This window comes from Homo sapiens, chromosome 14 (genome assembly GCF_000001405.40).
Source record: "Homo sapiens chromosome 14, GRCh38.p14 Primary Assembly".
Taxonomy (NCBI): Eukaryota; Metazoa; Chordata; class Mammalia; order Primates; family Hominidae; genus Homo; species Homo sapiens.
In genome coordinates, this window is record NC_000014.9 from 100,972,360 (window position 1) to 100,986,898 (window position 14,539).

At 33.2% G+C, this 14,539-nt stretch overlaps 1 long non-coding RNA gene, 13 other non-coding genes and 1 pseudogene across 14 annotated transcripts in view; all 15 read left to right on the forward strand.

Moving 5' to 3' along the window:
* The window catches only part of MEG8 (maternally expressed 8, small nucleolar RNA host gene), a 109,465-nt gene that overhangs the window by 82,711 nt on the left and 12,215 nt on the right, over positions 1–14,539 (forward strand). Inside the window, exons 34-42 of the long non-coding RNA NR_146000.1 lie at positions 1,767–1,844; positions 3,052–3,137; positions 5,246–5,363; positions 8,218–8,304; positions 10,145–10,226; positions 11,102–11,183; positions 11,989–12,075; positions 13,296–13,381; positions 14,260–14,347. This is a non-coding gene — a long non-coding RNA (maternally expressed 8, small nucleolar RNA host gene). The remainder of the gene's footprint in view (positions 1–1,766; positions 1,845–3,051; positions 3,138–5,245; positions 5,364–8,217; positions 8,305–10,144; positions 10,227–11,101; positions 11,184–11,988; positions 12,076–13,295; positions 13,382–14,259; positions 14,348–14,539) is intronic.
* SNORD114-15 (small nucleolar RNA, C/D box 114-15) lies at positions 311–381 on the forward strand. The gene has a single exon (NR_003208.1). It is a non-coding gene; the product is annotated as a small nucleolar RNA, C/D box 114-15 (small nucleolar RNA).
* On the forward strand, positions 1,236–1,304 carry SNORD114-16 (small nucleolar RNA, C/D box 114-16). The gene has a single exon (NR_003209.1). It is a non-coding gene; the product is annotated as a small nucleolar RNA, C/D box 114-16 (small nucleolar RNA).
* SNORD114-17 (small nucleolar RNA, C/D box 114-17) lies at positions 2,447–2,520 on the forward strand. Its single transcript, NR_003210.1, has one exon. It is a non-coding gene; the product is annotated as a small nucleolar RNA, C/D box 114-17 (small nucleolar RNA).
* Positions 3,466–3,536, forward strand: SNORD114-18 (small nucleolar RNA, C/D box 114-18). Its single transcript, NR_003211.1, has one exon. It is a non-coding gene; the product is annotated as a small nucleolar RNA, C/D box 114-18 (small nucleolar RNA).
* Positions 4,118–4,191, forward strand: SNORD114-19 (small nucleolar RNA, C/D box 114-19). The gene has a single exon (NR_003212.1). It is a non-coding gene; the product is annotated as a small nucleolar RNA, C/D box 114-19 (small nucleolar RNA).
* LOC124903419 (small nucleolar RNA SNORD113/SNORD114 family) lies at positions 5,030–5,106 on the forward strand. Its single transcript, XR_007064397.1, has one exon. It is a non-coding gene; the product is annotated as a small nucleolar RNA SNORD113/SNORD114 family (small nucleolar RNA).
* Positions 6,643–6,731, forward strand: LOC124903417 (uncharacterized; annotated as a pseudogene).
* Positions 7,633–7,707, forward strand: LOC124903420 (small nucleolar RNA SNORD113/SNORD114 family). The gene has a single exon (XR_007064398.1). It is a non-coding gene; the product is annotated as a small nucleolar RNA SNORD113/SNORD114 family (small nucleolar RNA).
* Positions 8,645–8,715, forward strand: SNORD114-20 (small nucleolar RNA, C/D box 114-20). The gene has a single exon (NR_003213.1). It is a non-coding gene; the product is annotated as a small nucleolar RNA, C/D box 114-20 (small nucleolar RNA).
* On the forward strand, positions 9,616–9,686 carry SNORD114-21 (small nucleolar RNA, C/D box 114-21). The gene has a single exon (NR_003214.1). It is a non-coding gene; the product is annotated as a small nucleolar RNA, C/D box 114-21 (small nucleolar RNA).
* Positions 10,567–10,637, forward strand: SNORD114-22 (small nucleolar RNA, C/D box 114-22). Its single transcript, NR_003215.1, has one exon. It is a non-coding gene; the product is annotated as a small nucleolar RNA, C/D box 114-22 (small nucleolar RNA).
* On the forward strand, positions 11,517–11,587 carry SNORD114-23 (small nucleolar RNA, C/D box 114-23). Its single transcript, NR_003216.1, has one exon. It is a non-coding gene; the product is annotated as a small nucleolar RNA, C/D box 114-23 (small nucleolar RNA).
* SNORD114-24 (small nucleolar RNA, C/D box 114-24) lies at positions 12,418–12,488 on the forward strand. Its single transcript, NR_003217.1, has one exon. It is a non-coding gene; the product is annotated as a small nucleolar RNA, C/D box 114-24 (small nucleolar RNA).
* On the forward strand, positions 13,698–13,768 carry SNORD114-25 (small nucleolar RNA, C/D box 114-25). The gene has a single exon (NR_003218.1). It is a non-coding gene; the product is annotated as a small nucleolar RNA, C/D box 114-25 (small nucleolar RNA).

Here is a 14,539-nt window from a genome sequence, read left to right on the forward strand (position 1 = left end):
AAAGTTCTTGGTGTGGTTTAGGTGGTTTAAGGTATTCACTGCATCACTAAAAAGTGTGAAATATAATCACATAAGGCCTGCTGTTACAAATGACAAATATGAAGCATCATATTGATTAATACATGTGTGAAATGCTGAGGATAATTAAAGCAGGAGATACATGGAGATGAGATGGTAATATGTACAGATTAATAATATCAAGGCTGTTCTTGGGGTTTTGTGAATCATAGGGTTTTAATTTATTGTTAGTGAACTAATGATTAAATCAACAGACAATATAGAAATGAATGGAGAAAAGGATGCCCAATCCTGGATCGATGATGACCACTGGTGGCGTATGAGTCATACATGATGAATATGTGTCTGGAACTCTGAGGTCCTTCACAAAAGAAATCGAGTCTTTCTGTTCATGCATTCTTATGTTATTATTATGATTGGGTCAATGAAAGAATGAGTAAACAAATATATAAGTGAATCAAGGTAAAATGGGGGAAACATTGTCTAATTATAAAAACTTGTTGTGAGGCAAGGAATTTTGTTAATATATATAGAAAACACTAAAATGCAAAGAGAAATAAATGGTGCATAATGGTTTATTTTGGCAAAGGATGATATGGACAGTATTAATTAGATAATGTTTTTGTTCTGGGTCAGTAGCAAGTTCAAAATTGTTCATTTTAAGAGAAAAGGAAATAAATATACTCCAAGTAATGATTGCCTGAATTAATGATTAAATGGAAGATGATAAGCAAGGATCAATGGAGGATTTTCTCATTTTTTAAGTCATCTGTTTTGTTCTGTACTCCTCAGAACAGATGCTTTAGAGGTGATTCAATCTCTCATCCCTGCTCACCAGCACGTTGGCTGCATCTCGTGTTAGAATATGAAGGCCAATGTGAGCAATAGTCAATGCTCTTGTCTTTGTTGGTGTAGCTTTTTAAAAAAGATATTTCCTATATTATTAAAATGTGTTAAATATAACCAAAGAGACCCAAACATGCCAATTTTACTATCAGATTGATAGATGTATTATAGTGATTGGTCAATATATGGACCAAAGAAGGTCATTACCACAGAAGACAGTAATGAAGAGATTTAGTCTGTGGAAATGAATCTGTAGATGAATGTTAGAAATCTTTATGAATATTATTCTTGTATTTTCTGACTGATGTGGATTTCTTATTAATAAATTAATCAGTGGATAAATTTGTATTAGTGTTAAATCAAAGATATCCTGGACCAATTATGACTACTGGTGTGAGTCACGCATAATGAACACCACGTGTCTGGAACTCTGAGGTCCAACACAAATGGGATGTAATCTATTCCCCATTTTGAAGGGATCTTATGCACAGATGTCAGAATATATGAGGACCTTGTTGTTGATATTTGTGTTCATGAATTTTAGAAATATTATTGTAAACGAATCAAGGGCAGAATAAATAAATTTATAAATTAATAGAGATGAAGGGGGTGAAGCATTGTTTATTACTAAACTTCATAGTAAGGAAAATGAATATTAATAGAAATAGAATGGGTAATAAATTGATCAAGGATATTATGTCTTGGACTAAGGATGACATAGACTGTAATAGGTAACAGTTCTTGCTCTCATTCAGTTGCAAGTTTTGAAGTTTATTACTTGCAAAATATATAAATATTAGCATAAATTAATAAAAGCCTAAAAGGCAGTGTTAACAAATGGTAGACAACGTGGATCAATGGAGAGAACATCTCAATGTTTTTCTGTGCTTTCTACTCTTCAGAATGGATGCAACAAGCTCTTTGAATCATTCTGTTGGGATCAAGATTGTTGTGTTCCCTCTGTTTGGAAAGAGACCAAGGTGAGTTATAGTCAAAGTTCTTATCTTGGTTTCAGTAATTTGTTTGAAGATGTTCTTGGTATTACTATAAAATGTGTTAAATTATTCAGTTAGAGAGGAGAAATAAGTTCAAGAGAAATATTATACAACATGGTGCCTATAGTTCATTTTATACATCATATTCTTGAAAAATGCTAGAGAGTAGATGTTAAGTGTTCTCATCACAAAATGATAACTCTGAGATGTAATACATATATCAGTTAGATAGATTTAGTTATTCCACAATGTATATATACTTCAGAACATCATGTTGTGCATGATAAATACAAGCAATTTTATCTGTCAATCAAAAAATTTTAAAGTATTAAATTAATACACAGTTAACCACTGCTCAATAATGAGTATGACTGAAACAGTATGTTGTTTAATTTCTCATGTGCAACATTGAGGTCAATAAATGAAAGAGATCTAGTCTATGTTGAAGGTGACTCTGTAGATGTTATAGATATTCAAAGACCTTGTTGGTTTTGTCTGAACCATGTATTTGTTTTTATTAATGTCAATAATATGATCATTTAATTGATAAAAATGTAGGAACCCATGAAGGAGAGGAGACCCAATCATGGACCAATGATGACAAATGGTGGCATTGGAGTTATGGACGATGAATGATATGTGTCTGAAACTCTGAGGTCCAACACAGCACATAATTAGTGTATTCTCTCTGTTGAAATTGACTTACAGAGAAATGTCAGGAATATATAGATAATATCTATGTATTGATTCCATAGATTGATATTTATTATTACCATTGGATCAATGATAGATCCATTAAACTAATATAAATTAATGTATAAAGAACAAGAGGGTCAAGCATTGTCCAATATGAACATATGTGTGGAGTCAAGAAATATTACTAATCAAAATTTAAAGCACTGACATTCATTTACAAATAAATGGATAAAAGATATTACCACTTTTAGTAAGAATAATATAGAAATTGATAAGTAAGAGTTGATTTTATTGTTCTGGGTTAGTCTCATGATAGAAGTGTTCCTTTGCGTAAGATAAATACACACACACACACACACACACACACACACACACACAGTGAACAAATAATAAATACCTAAATGACCTAGTAAATGAAATACAGAAAGCAGGAATCAAGAATCAATGGAGATAAGGTCTTAATTTTGTTATCATTTGCTCTGCTTCATACCCTTAGAATGGATACGCTCAGGTGATTTAAGCAGTCTTCCATGGCCACGAGCTCTGTGGTTGCCTCTGTATATTAAGAGCACAGAGATTAAAGTGAGTAATGGCTGACATTCTTTTCTTGGTTTCAGTATTTCTTTTATCTTAAGATTATTCACTATATTATTAAAAAGCATGAAATACAATGAATGCAATTATAACCCAGTAATAAATATGAGATGTATGAAATATTATATCAATTAATGCATATATAAAAAATAGGATAGTTAATGAAATTTATGTTGATATGAGAATAATTCTATATAGAAATTAGGGATATAAGGACTCTTCTTGAGTTTTTGTGAATAATAATACTATAATTTTATGATTCAATGAATTAATCAATAAACAAATGTAGGTGACAATAGAGCAAAAGGGCCAATCCTAGATCAGTGATGACTACTGTTGGTGTATGAGTCATATACGATGAATACATGTCTGAAATTCTGAGGTCCAATGTGAAAGAGATGTAGCTCATTTACTCTGGTTTAAGTGACCCTGTAGCCAGTTGTCAGGAATATACAAGGATCTTGGTTTTGGTCTTTTCATTCTATGCAGAGGATGTCTTTTTTTTTTTTTTTTTTTTTTTTTTTTTTGCGCTGTTTTCTCTGATTTATATTTCTCAGAATGGACCCACTCAAGCTGACTTCAGAATTCCTCCTTGGTCACAAGCTTTTTGATTGCATGTCTGCATTAGGAGCCTAGAGAACAATGTAATAGCTAAAGTTCTTATCTTGTTTTGCATAGTTTGTTTATGGGCAGTCACTGTATTATTAAAAAGTGTGAAATATAATCAAAGAAGGTGAGCTGTAGCTTAGTAATAAGCATGGGATTAATATGAGATATTATTTTTTTAGTGTATACATGAAATACTACAATTATTATTAACATAAGAGATATTGAAGTGAGAATGGTTTTAAGTACATATTAGGGATATAAATCTCTTGCATTTTTGTGAATCACAGAGTTTTAAAATTATAATTATTAAATTAATCAATAAATAACTTAGAAATGAATTGAGGAAAAGTGGGCCCTCCTGGATCAATGATAAAACTTGCTGGCATATGAATCTTGGATAATGGATGATACGTGTGTGGAACTCTGAGGTCCAACACAAAAGAAAAGTGATTTTTTTTCATGCACTTTCATTCTATTATTGTAATCGGATCAATAAAATAAGTAAATCAAGATAAAATAGATGAGGCATTGTCCAAATATAGAAATATGTGGCAAGGCAAGAAGTACTATTACTATATGTTGAAAATATGAAATTCAATGAGAAATTAATGGTATGTGACTTTTACCTCTTTGGCTAATGATGCACAGTTTAAATTATAGACAATGTTCATGCTCTGAGTCTGTGGCAAATTTGAAGTTGTTCATTTTTAGAGAAAATGTAATATCCTCCCAATGAATGTTTGCCTTAATTACTGGCTAAACGGTAGACACAAAGCAGGGAACCATTGCCATAAGGTCTCAAATTTTTTATCAACAGTCCTACTTTGTACACCTTAGAATGGGCTCACCTGAGTTGTCTCAAGCACTCCTTCATGCCCTCAGGCTGTACAGTTGCATCTGTGTGTTAGGAGCTTGGAGGCCACTGTAAGTAATAGTCAATGTTCTTGGCTTGAGTGCTTTTTTAAAGGATAGTTACTACAGTATTAAAAATTATACAATATATAAAAGAAGGCCAACTGCAGCCCAGTGACAAACATGAAATCCATATGAAGTAGTATATTGATTAATTCATTGAATTAATTCATTTAAGAAAACTGAGGATATTTAGTAAAGGAGTTACATTGACCTGAGAATGATTCTATACACATATTAGGGACATCGAGGCTTTTTTCAGGTTTTGTGCATTATAGCACTTTAAACATATTATTAGTAAATTGCTGAATTAATCAATAAACAATGCAGAAACAAATGAAGAAAAGATGGGCCATTTCTGGACCAATGATGATGACTGGTGGTGTATGAGTTAAAGGTGATGAATAGTAAGTGTCTTTGTTAGTGGCAAGTTCAGAGTCGTTTGTTTTAAGAGAATATGAAATAAATATATTCCAAATAATGATGATTTAAGTGACTAAATGAAAGGTGAAAGGCAAGGATCATTGGAGGAATGTCTGAATTTTTAAATCATCTGTTCTGTTTATACTCCTCAGAATGGCCCCATTCCAGCTGATATAAGCACTCTTCCATGGCATGTGCACTATGGTTGGTTCTCTGTGTTAGGAGCACACAAACCATTGCGAGTATGCATTCATTTCCTCTCTTTACAAGGTGCAGTAAGTTGGTGTCAGTGATATACAAGAATCTTTGTGTTCATGCATTTTTTTTTTTTTTTGAGATGGAGTCTCTCTCTGTTGCTCAGGCTGGAGTGCAGTGGTGTGATCTTGGCTCACTGCAACCTCTGCCTCCCAGGCATCATCATTGGTCCAGAAATGGCCTATCTTTTCTTCATTCGTTTCTACATTGTTTATTGATTAATTCAGCAATTTACTAATAATATGTTTAAAGTGCTTTAATGCACAAAACCTGAAAAAAGTCTTGATGTCCCTAATATGTGTATAGAATCATTCTCAGGTCAATGTACCTCCTTTACTAAATATCCTCAGTTTTCTTAAATGAATTAATTCAATGAATTAATCAATATACTACTTCATATCAATTTCATGTTTGTCACTGGGCTGCAGTTGGCCTTCTTTAATATATTGTATAATTTTTAATACTGTAGTAAAATTAGCCAGTACAGATGGGGTTTCACCATGTTGCCCAGGCTGGTCTTGAACTCCTGACCTTGTGATCCACCCACCTTGACCTCCCAAAGTGCTGGGATTACAGGCATAAGCCACCACGCCTGGCTGTGTTCATGGATTCTTGAAAATTGTAAGGAATCACTGATAGAGTAGACAAACAAACACATAATGAATAAACATCAAGGTGGTAAAGCGTGCTCATTGTTAAAATATACAGGAGGGAAAAATAGTATTAATATAAATTGGAACAAGTGTATTTTGTCTTAGACTAATGGTGATAACAGAAAGTGAGAAGTAACGGTTTTTGATCTGGTTCACTTGTGTATTTCATGTTTGATTTACTAAGAGAAAAAGAAATAAATATTGATGTAAATTTATAAATGTCTGAATGACTATATAAAAGGATAGAGGAATCTGTGGCTCAATGAAGAGAATGTGTAATCATCTTCTGTGCTCTGATTTGCATATTCTTCCATACTTACAAACTCTGTGTTTATATCTGTGTGTTAGGAGCATAGAGACCAACATCAGCAATGGTAAAAATTATCTTCGTTTGAGTGATTCAAAGACAGTCAATCATGCTGATGTTTTATTTCAGATTGATATGCAGTAGTATTATGTTGATTAATGCTATGTGAAAAACTGAATTCATTTAAAGAAAGGGATTTAGGCTCTTTGTGATAGTATAGATGAATGTGAGTGATATTGAAGAGCTTATTTTTTGTGGTTTATGTGTATGTCTTTATTAATGAATTACTCAATAAACAAGTGTAGGTAAGAATGAAGAGAAAGAAGGCCAATCCTGGACTGTTGATGACAAGTGGTGGCTTATGTGGTTGTACATGCTGGTTGTATATGAAGAATATTACATATCTGAAACTTTGAGGTCCAAACACAAATAGAATCTAGTTCATTCCCGTGTTTAAAGTGATGTAATAGACAGATACCGGAAATATACAAGGAGTTTGTGATTAGTCTTGTGAGCATGAGGTTTAAAAAGATTGTAAAAGTGGCAATAGCAGAATAAGCAAATACATGTACAAATAAAATAAAACAAATAAAAATGAAGAGGACAAAGCATTGTTCATTGCTGAAATATGCAGTAAGGAAAATATTGCTAATGTACATTGGAATGGATAATAAATGGACCACGTGTATAATATTTCTGACTAAAGATGATAGAGACAATGGTAATAATTACTGATAAGTAATAGCCAGTTATTGCCCCAAGTCAATTACAAGTTTGAAGTTTATAAGAAGAAAAATAAATAAATATTACCATAAATTAATAAATACCTAAATGACTAGGTGAATGAAAGAAAGAAATTATAGATCAACAGACAAAATATCTCAATCTTTTTATCATTATCTCCACCTAGCACCCTTCAGTGCAGATGCAATTAGCTGATTTGAGCACTCTGCAACAACGATCAAGTTTCTCATGTTAACTCCGTTCAAAAAGAGACCAATGTGAATATAGTCTATGTTCTTGTCTTGGTTTCAGTTATTTGCTTGAGAGTATTCATGGTATTATTAAAAAGTATTAATCAAATAGTTATTTATGGCCCAATAACAAGTATAATGTGAAATATGATGTTGATTAATCCCTAATGTTGACATCATTAAGTGAAAAAGATGGAATGTGTATGGGAAATGGTTGTATTGATAGCTGTTAGCACTATTCTAGCATTTTATTTTTGCATTTTTCTGACTCACTCATTTTCAGTGAATTAGTGATTCATTCTCTGCAAATGTAAGATTGAGTGAAGAAAAACCTGGCCAATGAGTATGCATAGAACAACGATAACAAATAGTAGTGCAGGAGTCATAAACTATGAGTAATATGTGTGTGGAACTCTGAGCATCAACGCAAAACGTATTTAGTCTATTCCTTCTGTTTGGAATAATCCTACAGACAGATGTTTGGGATATATAAAGACCATGTTCTTATTTTAGATTCATAGATTAGATTTGTTAATATTAGGGAATTCATGATAGGACCATTGAACAAATATAAGTAGATAGATAAAATTGAAGAGAGTGCAGCTCTGTTCAGCTATAAAAGTATATAGTGGGGCAATCAAGATTATTAATACAAGTAGAGACAACTGACATCCATTAAGAATATATTGGATCAAAGATGTTCCTTCTTTCTTTGGCTTAAGATCATATAGACACTAAGAGTAAGAATCAATTTTATTGTTCTGAACCAGTTCCTCTAAGTTTGAGGTTGTCCCTTTCGTTAAGAGAAAAAACATATACTTCATGGAAAATTATGAAGTACCTGAATGATTAAGTAAATGAAATGCAGAAAGCAAGAATTATAGAGGATGAGGTGTCTGTTTTTTAAAATACTGACTCTGCTTTGTTTTCCTCAGAATGGGTGCACTTGAGCCGATTGAAACATTCCTCCTTGCATCTTTCTTCTGTGATTGCATCTATTTGTTAGTAGCATAGAGACCAATGTGAGTAATCATTAAAATTCTTCTCTTGGTTTGAGTGGTTATTTCAAAATACTCAATGAATTACTAAAAAAGTGCATACTATAATCAAAGATGTCGAGTAGTATTCTAGCAATAAATGTGGGACTCATGTGAAGCATTGTATTGATAATGCATCTATGAAAAACTGAGGATAGTGAATGAAACAGCTGTATCCATATTAGAATGATTCATTGTAGGGATTAGGAATCTCTAGGTTCTTACTGGGATTTCATGAACCATGATTTTAAAATTTATGGTCAGTGGATTAATAAATCATTAATAAGCAATTAGAAGTGAGTGGAGAGAAAGAGCACCTGTCCTGTGGATCGATGATGACTACTGGTGGCGTATGAGTCATCTACAGTGAATACGTCTCTGGAACTCTGAGGTCTGTCACAAAAGAAATCTAGCCCATTTTCTATGTTTGATACAATCCTTTAGATGGGTATCATGAACATAGACTGGGTTTGTTTTTGGTCTTTGTGCTCATACATTTTCATTCTATTTTTATTATTGGGTTAATGTGAGAATCAATAAACAAATATAAAAATAAAGATATATTGGTTGAAGTGTTGCTCAATTATAAAAATAGGTGGTGAGACAAGAAATACTATTAATATGTATTGGAAATAGTGAAGTTCAAGGAGGAATAAATGGTACGTGTCTGTCACCTCTTTGGCTAATGATGATATAGAGAGGATAATTATAGACAGTGTTTTTATTCTGGGTCAGTGGCAAATTCAGAATTGTTCATCTTTTTAAGACAAAGTGAAATAAATATACTGTACTCTAAATAATGGTAGCCTAAATGACTAAAGAAATGTGAAAAGCAAGGATCAATGGTGATAATATGTCAAATTTGTTATCATCTTCTTTGCGCTGTACTCCTCAGAACGGACATCCTTGTTCTGTCTTGAGAATTCCTCTAGGGTCACATGCTCTGTTTGCACCGTGCTTAGGAAGGAGCGTGCAGACCAATGTGTAATGGTCAAAGTCCTTATTGTGGTTTGTTTAAGAGTAATCAATGTATTATTAAAAAGTGTGAAATACAGTCAAAGATGGTCAATGTTATCCCGATGGTAGACATGGCAGTGACATGAAGTATTAATATAATACTGAGGATAATTAATGAAACAGATAATATCAATGTTAGAATGATTCTGGATACAGATCAGAAATATCAAGGCTGTTCTTGGAGTTTTTTGAATCATAGGCTTTGAAATTATTATTAGTGATTTAATGAGGCAACCAACAGACAATGTAAAACTGAATAGAAAAAAGGAGGGCCATTCCTGGATCAATGATGACCACTGGTGGCGTATGAGTCATATGTGATGAATACGTGTCTGGAACTCTGAGGTCCACCACAAAAGATACCTAGTCCATTCCCTCTGTTTTACATGAATCTATAGACTGATGTCAGGAATATAGAATGAAGTTGTTTTGGTTTCATTTTCATTCTAATGCAAGAATCAATAAACATATAAATAAAGATAAAATGCGTGAACAGTGTACAACTATAAAAATATGTGTTGAGCAAGAAATACTATTAATGTATATTGAAATCGGTGAAGTACAAAGAGATATTGTACATACCTGTTACTTCTTTGGCTTATAATAATGTAGACAGAATAAATTACAGATAATGTTCAAATTCTTATTCACTTGCAAGATCAAATTGTTCTTTTTCTTAGGAGAAAATGAAATAAATATTAGTCCACCTAATGAATGCTTAAAGGACAGGCTAAAGGCAAGGTGAAAAGCAAGGATCATTAGTGAGAATGTCTCAGTTTTGTTACCGTCTCTGCTTTGTATTCCTCAGAATAGATGGCTTGTGCTGATGGAAGGATTCCTCCCTGGTGACATGCTGTGTCTGCCTCTTGATTGGGAGCACGCAGACCTACGTGAGTAATCAAGTTCTGGTCTTAGTTTGGGTGGTTGGGTTAGGAGGATTTGATGTATTATTAAAAAGTCTGCACTGTAATCAAAAATGGCCAGCTGCAGCCCAGTGATAGAAATGGGAGTGATATGAAGCGTTATATTAACAATACATGTTTGAAAAACTGAGGATAATTAATGAAACATTTATCAGTGTGAGAATGATTCTATATGCAGATAAAGAATATTAATATTAATGCTGTTCTGAGGCGTTTGTGAACCAAAGGTTTTCAAATTACTATTAGCAAATTAATGAATTAATCATTAGACAAGGTAAAAGTGCCCAGAGAAAAATAGGACACATTCTGGATCGATGATGACTACCGGTGGCGTATGAGTCATATGTGATGAATACGTGTTTGGAACTCTGAGGTCCATCACAGATAAAATCTGGCTTATTCTCTGTTTCGAATGGTGTTACAGACAGATTTAAAAAATATAGAATGTTTGTTTTTTCTGTGTGATTATGAAGTTTTCTTCTATTTTTATAATTGGATCAATGTGAGAATCAGGAAACAAATATATAATAAATAGAAAATGATTGAAACACTGCCCAATTATAAAAATTTGTGGTAAGGCAAGAAATGCTATTAACACATATTGAAATCGTGAAATCTAGAAAGACATAAATGGCGTATGATATAGATAGTATAAATTATAGACAATGTTCATATTCTGAGTCAGTGGTAATTTTGAAGTTGTTCATTTTATTAAGAGAAAATAAATAAAAGAAATATAATCCAAATAATGATTGCCAAAATGACTAATAACAGGTGAAAATCAAGGATCAATGTTGAGAATGTCTCAATTTTGTTATCTTCTCTGCTTTCTGTCCTTTCAGAATGATGCACTTTTTATGATTTGAGAATTCCTTCATGGTCACGTGCTCTGTTTTTATCATGGTTGGGAGCCTGCAGAGCAATGTGAGTAGTAATCAACATTCTTATCTTGGCCCGAATGGTTTGTTTAAGAGGACTCAGGGTATTATCAAAAAGCCTATAATATAATCAGAATGGTCAACTGTATCTAAGTGATAGAAATTGGAGTGATATGAAGCATTATATTGATAATGCATATATGAAAAATTGAGGGTAATGAAACAGATATATCGATGTTAGAATGATTCCATGTACAGATTGGGAATATCAAGACTCTTCTTGGAGCTCTTTGAATCAGACTCTTTAATGTTGTTATTAGTGAATTAGTAAATTAATCACAAAAATACAGGCATGAATTGAGAAAAGGAAGACCAATCCTGGATCGATGATGACTACTGGTGGCGTATGAGTCATAGACAATGAATACGTGTCTGGAACTCTGAGGTCCATCGTCCATCACAATGGAAATGTATACATTCCTTCTGTTTAAAATGATGTTATAGACAGATTTCAGAAATATAGAATGTAGTTATTTTTCTTGGGGGTTGTGTATTTTTATTCTATTTTTATAATTGGATCAATGAAAGTAATCAATAAGATATAAATAAAATGGCACATAGTTTAATAATAAAAATATCTGGTGAAGCAGGATATTCTATTTATATATTAAAAACAGTGAAGTCAAAAGATAAATAATGGTATTATTTGTCATCTATTGGCTAATTATGGTATAGACATTATAAATTATAGATAATATGTGTGTTCTGGGTCAGAGGCAGGGTGCAAAAGCCAGGATCAGTAGTAGGAATGTCTCATATTGTTATCATCTTCTCTGCTCTGTACACCTCAGAAGGGACATGCCTTTGCTGATTTGAGGATTCCTCTGAGGTTGGGAGCTAAGTTTGCATCATGCTTAGAAAGGAGTGTGCAGACCTGTGTGAGTAATATTCAAAGTCTTTATCTTGCTTTGTGCATTTTGTTTAAGAGGATTCTATGAATTATAAAAAGGTGTAAAATATAATTAAAGATGGCCAACTCTATCCCAATAATAGATTTGGTGGGATATGAAGTATTATATTGATAATGCATATATGAAAAGCTGAGGATAATTAATAAAACAGGTATATTCGTGTTAGAATGATTCTGTATACATATTATTTAGACGTATACAGCTCTCCATAGGGCTTTGTAAATCATAGGATTTACAATTATTAGTAATGAATTAATGAATTAATCAACAAATGAGGCAGAATTAAATTGAAAAACAGATGATCCATCCTGGATCGATGGTGACTGTTGATGGCATATGACTCACATATGATGAGTACGTATCTGGAACTCTGAGGTCTGTCACAGAAGAAATCTGGCCTATTGCTTCAGTTTCAAATGATCCTATAGACAGAGTTCAGAAATATAGAACATAATTTTTTTGGCATTTGTGTTTATGTATTTTCATTCTATTTTCATAACTGGTCAATGCAAGGCTCAATAAACACATATATAAATAGATACAGCTGAAAAAGTGGAAGCATTGGCCAAGTATAACAATATATGATAAGGCAAGAAGCACTCTTTTTTTTTTTTTTTTTTTTTTTGACAGTGTCTCGCTCTGTCCCCCAGGCTGGAGTGCAGTGGCATGATCTTGGCTCACTGCAACCTCTGCCTTCTGGGTTCAAGTGATTCTCCTGCCCCCGCCTCCCAAGTAGTTGGGATTACAGGCGCCCTTCACCACATCTGCCAATTTTTTGTATTTTTAGTAGAGACGGGGTTTCACCATGTTGGCCAGGCTGGTCTCGAACTCCTGACCTCAAGTGATCCGCCTACCTCAGCCTTCCAAAGTGTTGGGATTACAAGTGTGAGCCACAGCATCCGGCCAGAAGCACTCTTAATATCTTTTGACACAGCGAAGTCCACAGAGATATAAATGGTGTCTTCTGGTGACTTCTGTGGCTAATGATGGTATAGACAGTACAAATTATAGACAACATTCAATTTCTGGGTCAACGACAATTTCAGAATTATGCATTTCTTTAGATAAAATGAATATACTGCAAATAATGATTGTCAAAATGACTAACTAATGATAGGTGACAAGAAAGGGTCAGTAGTGACAACATCTCACTTTTGTTATCCTCTTCTCTGCTCTGTATTCCCTAGAATGATTGCACTTTGCTGATTGAAGGATTCCTTCAAGTCCATGTGCTCCACTTGCACCATTTTTAGGATGGAGCCTGGAGACCTATGTAAGTAATAGTGGAAGTCCTCACCTTGCTTTGGGTGGTTTGTTCAAGAGGGTTCAATGTGTTACAAAAAGGTGTATATTATAATCAAAGATGAGCAGTTGTATTTAAATAAACATGGGCCTGATGTGAGGATTATATTGAAGATATATACATGAGAAACTGAGGATAATTAATAAAATAAATATTCCTATATGTTAGGAATATCATGGCTATTCTTGTGGTTTTGTAAATCATAGGGCTTAAAGTTATGGTTAGTGAATTAACAGATTAGTCAATAGACAAGGAGGAAACGAACCCAAAAATAGAAGATCAGTCCTGGATCGATGATGACTACTGGTGGCGTATGAGTCTTTTGCGATGAATACGTGTCTAGAACTCTGAGGTCCGTCACAAACAAAATCTAGCCTATTCTGTATGTTTGAAATTATTTTACAGACAACTGTCAGGAGTATAGAATGTATATGTTTTTGGTATTCATGTTTACATGTTTTGATTCTATTTTTATAATTGATCCATATGAGAATTAATAAACAAATACAAATAAAGATGAATAAATTCGAGCATTGTCCAATTATGAAACTAAGGGACAAGATAAGAAACACAATTAATGTATATGAAACAGCGACATCCACAGAGAAATAAACGGTACATTCCTGTGTCTTCTTTGGCTAATGATGGTATAGACAGAATAAAGTATAGGTAATGTTCAACTTCTGGGTCAGTGACAGTTTCAAAATTATTCATTTTATTTTCAGAAAATGAATTAAATATACTTCAAATAATGATTGCATGAATGACTAACTGATAGTTGAAAAGCAAATATCAATATTGAAAATGTCTCAATTTTGTCATTATCTTCTCTGGTCTGTATTCCTCAGAATGAACAACTTGTGCTGTGTTAAGGATTCCTCCATGATCACGCGCCCCATTTGTACACCATGCTTGGGAAGGTGCATGCAGACCAATGTTAGTAATAGTCAAAATTCCTGTGTCGGTTTGTGTGGTTTGCTAAACAGGACTCAATGTATCATGAAACAGTGTATTATATAGTCAACTATGGTCAACTATGTCCCAGTGATATTTATGAGAGGGATCTGAAGTATTTATTGATAATGCATATATGAAAAACGGAGAAGAATTAATGAAACAGATATATCT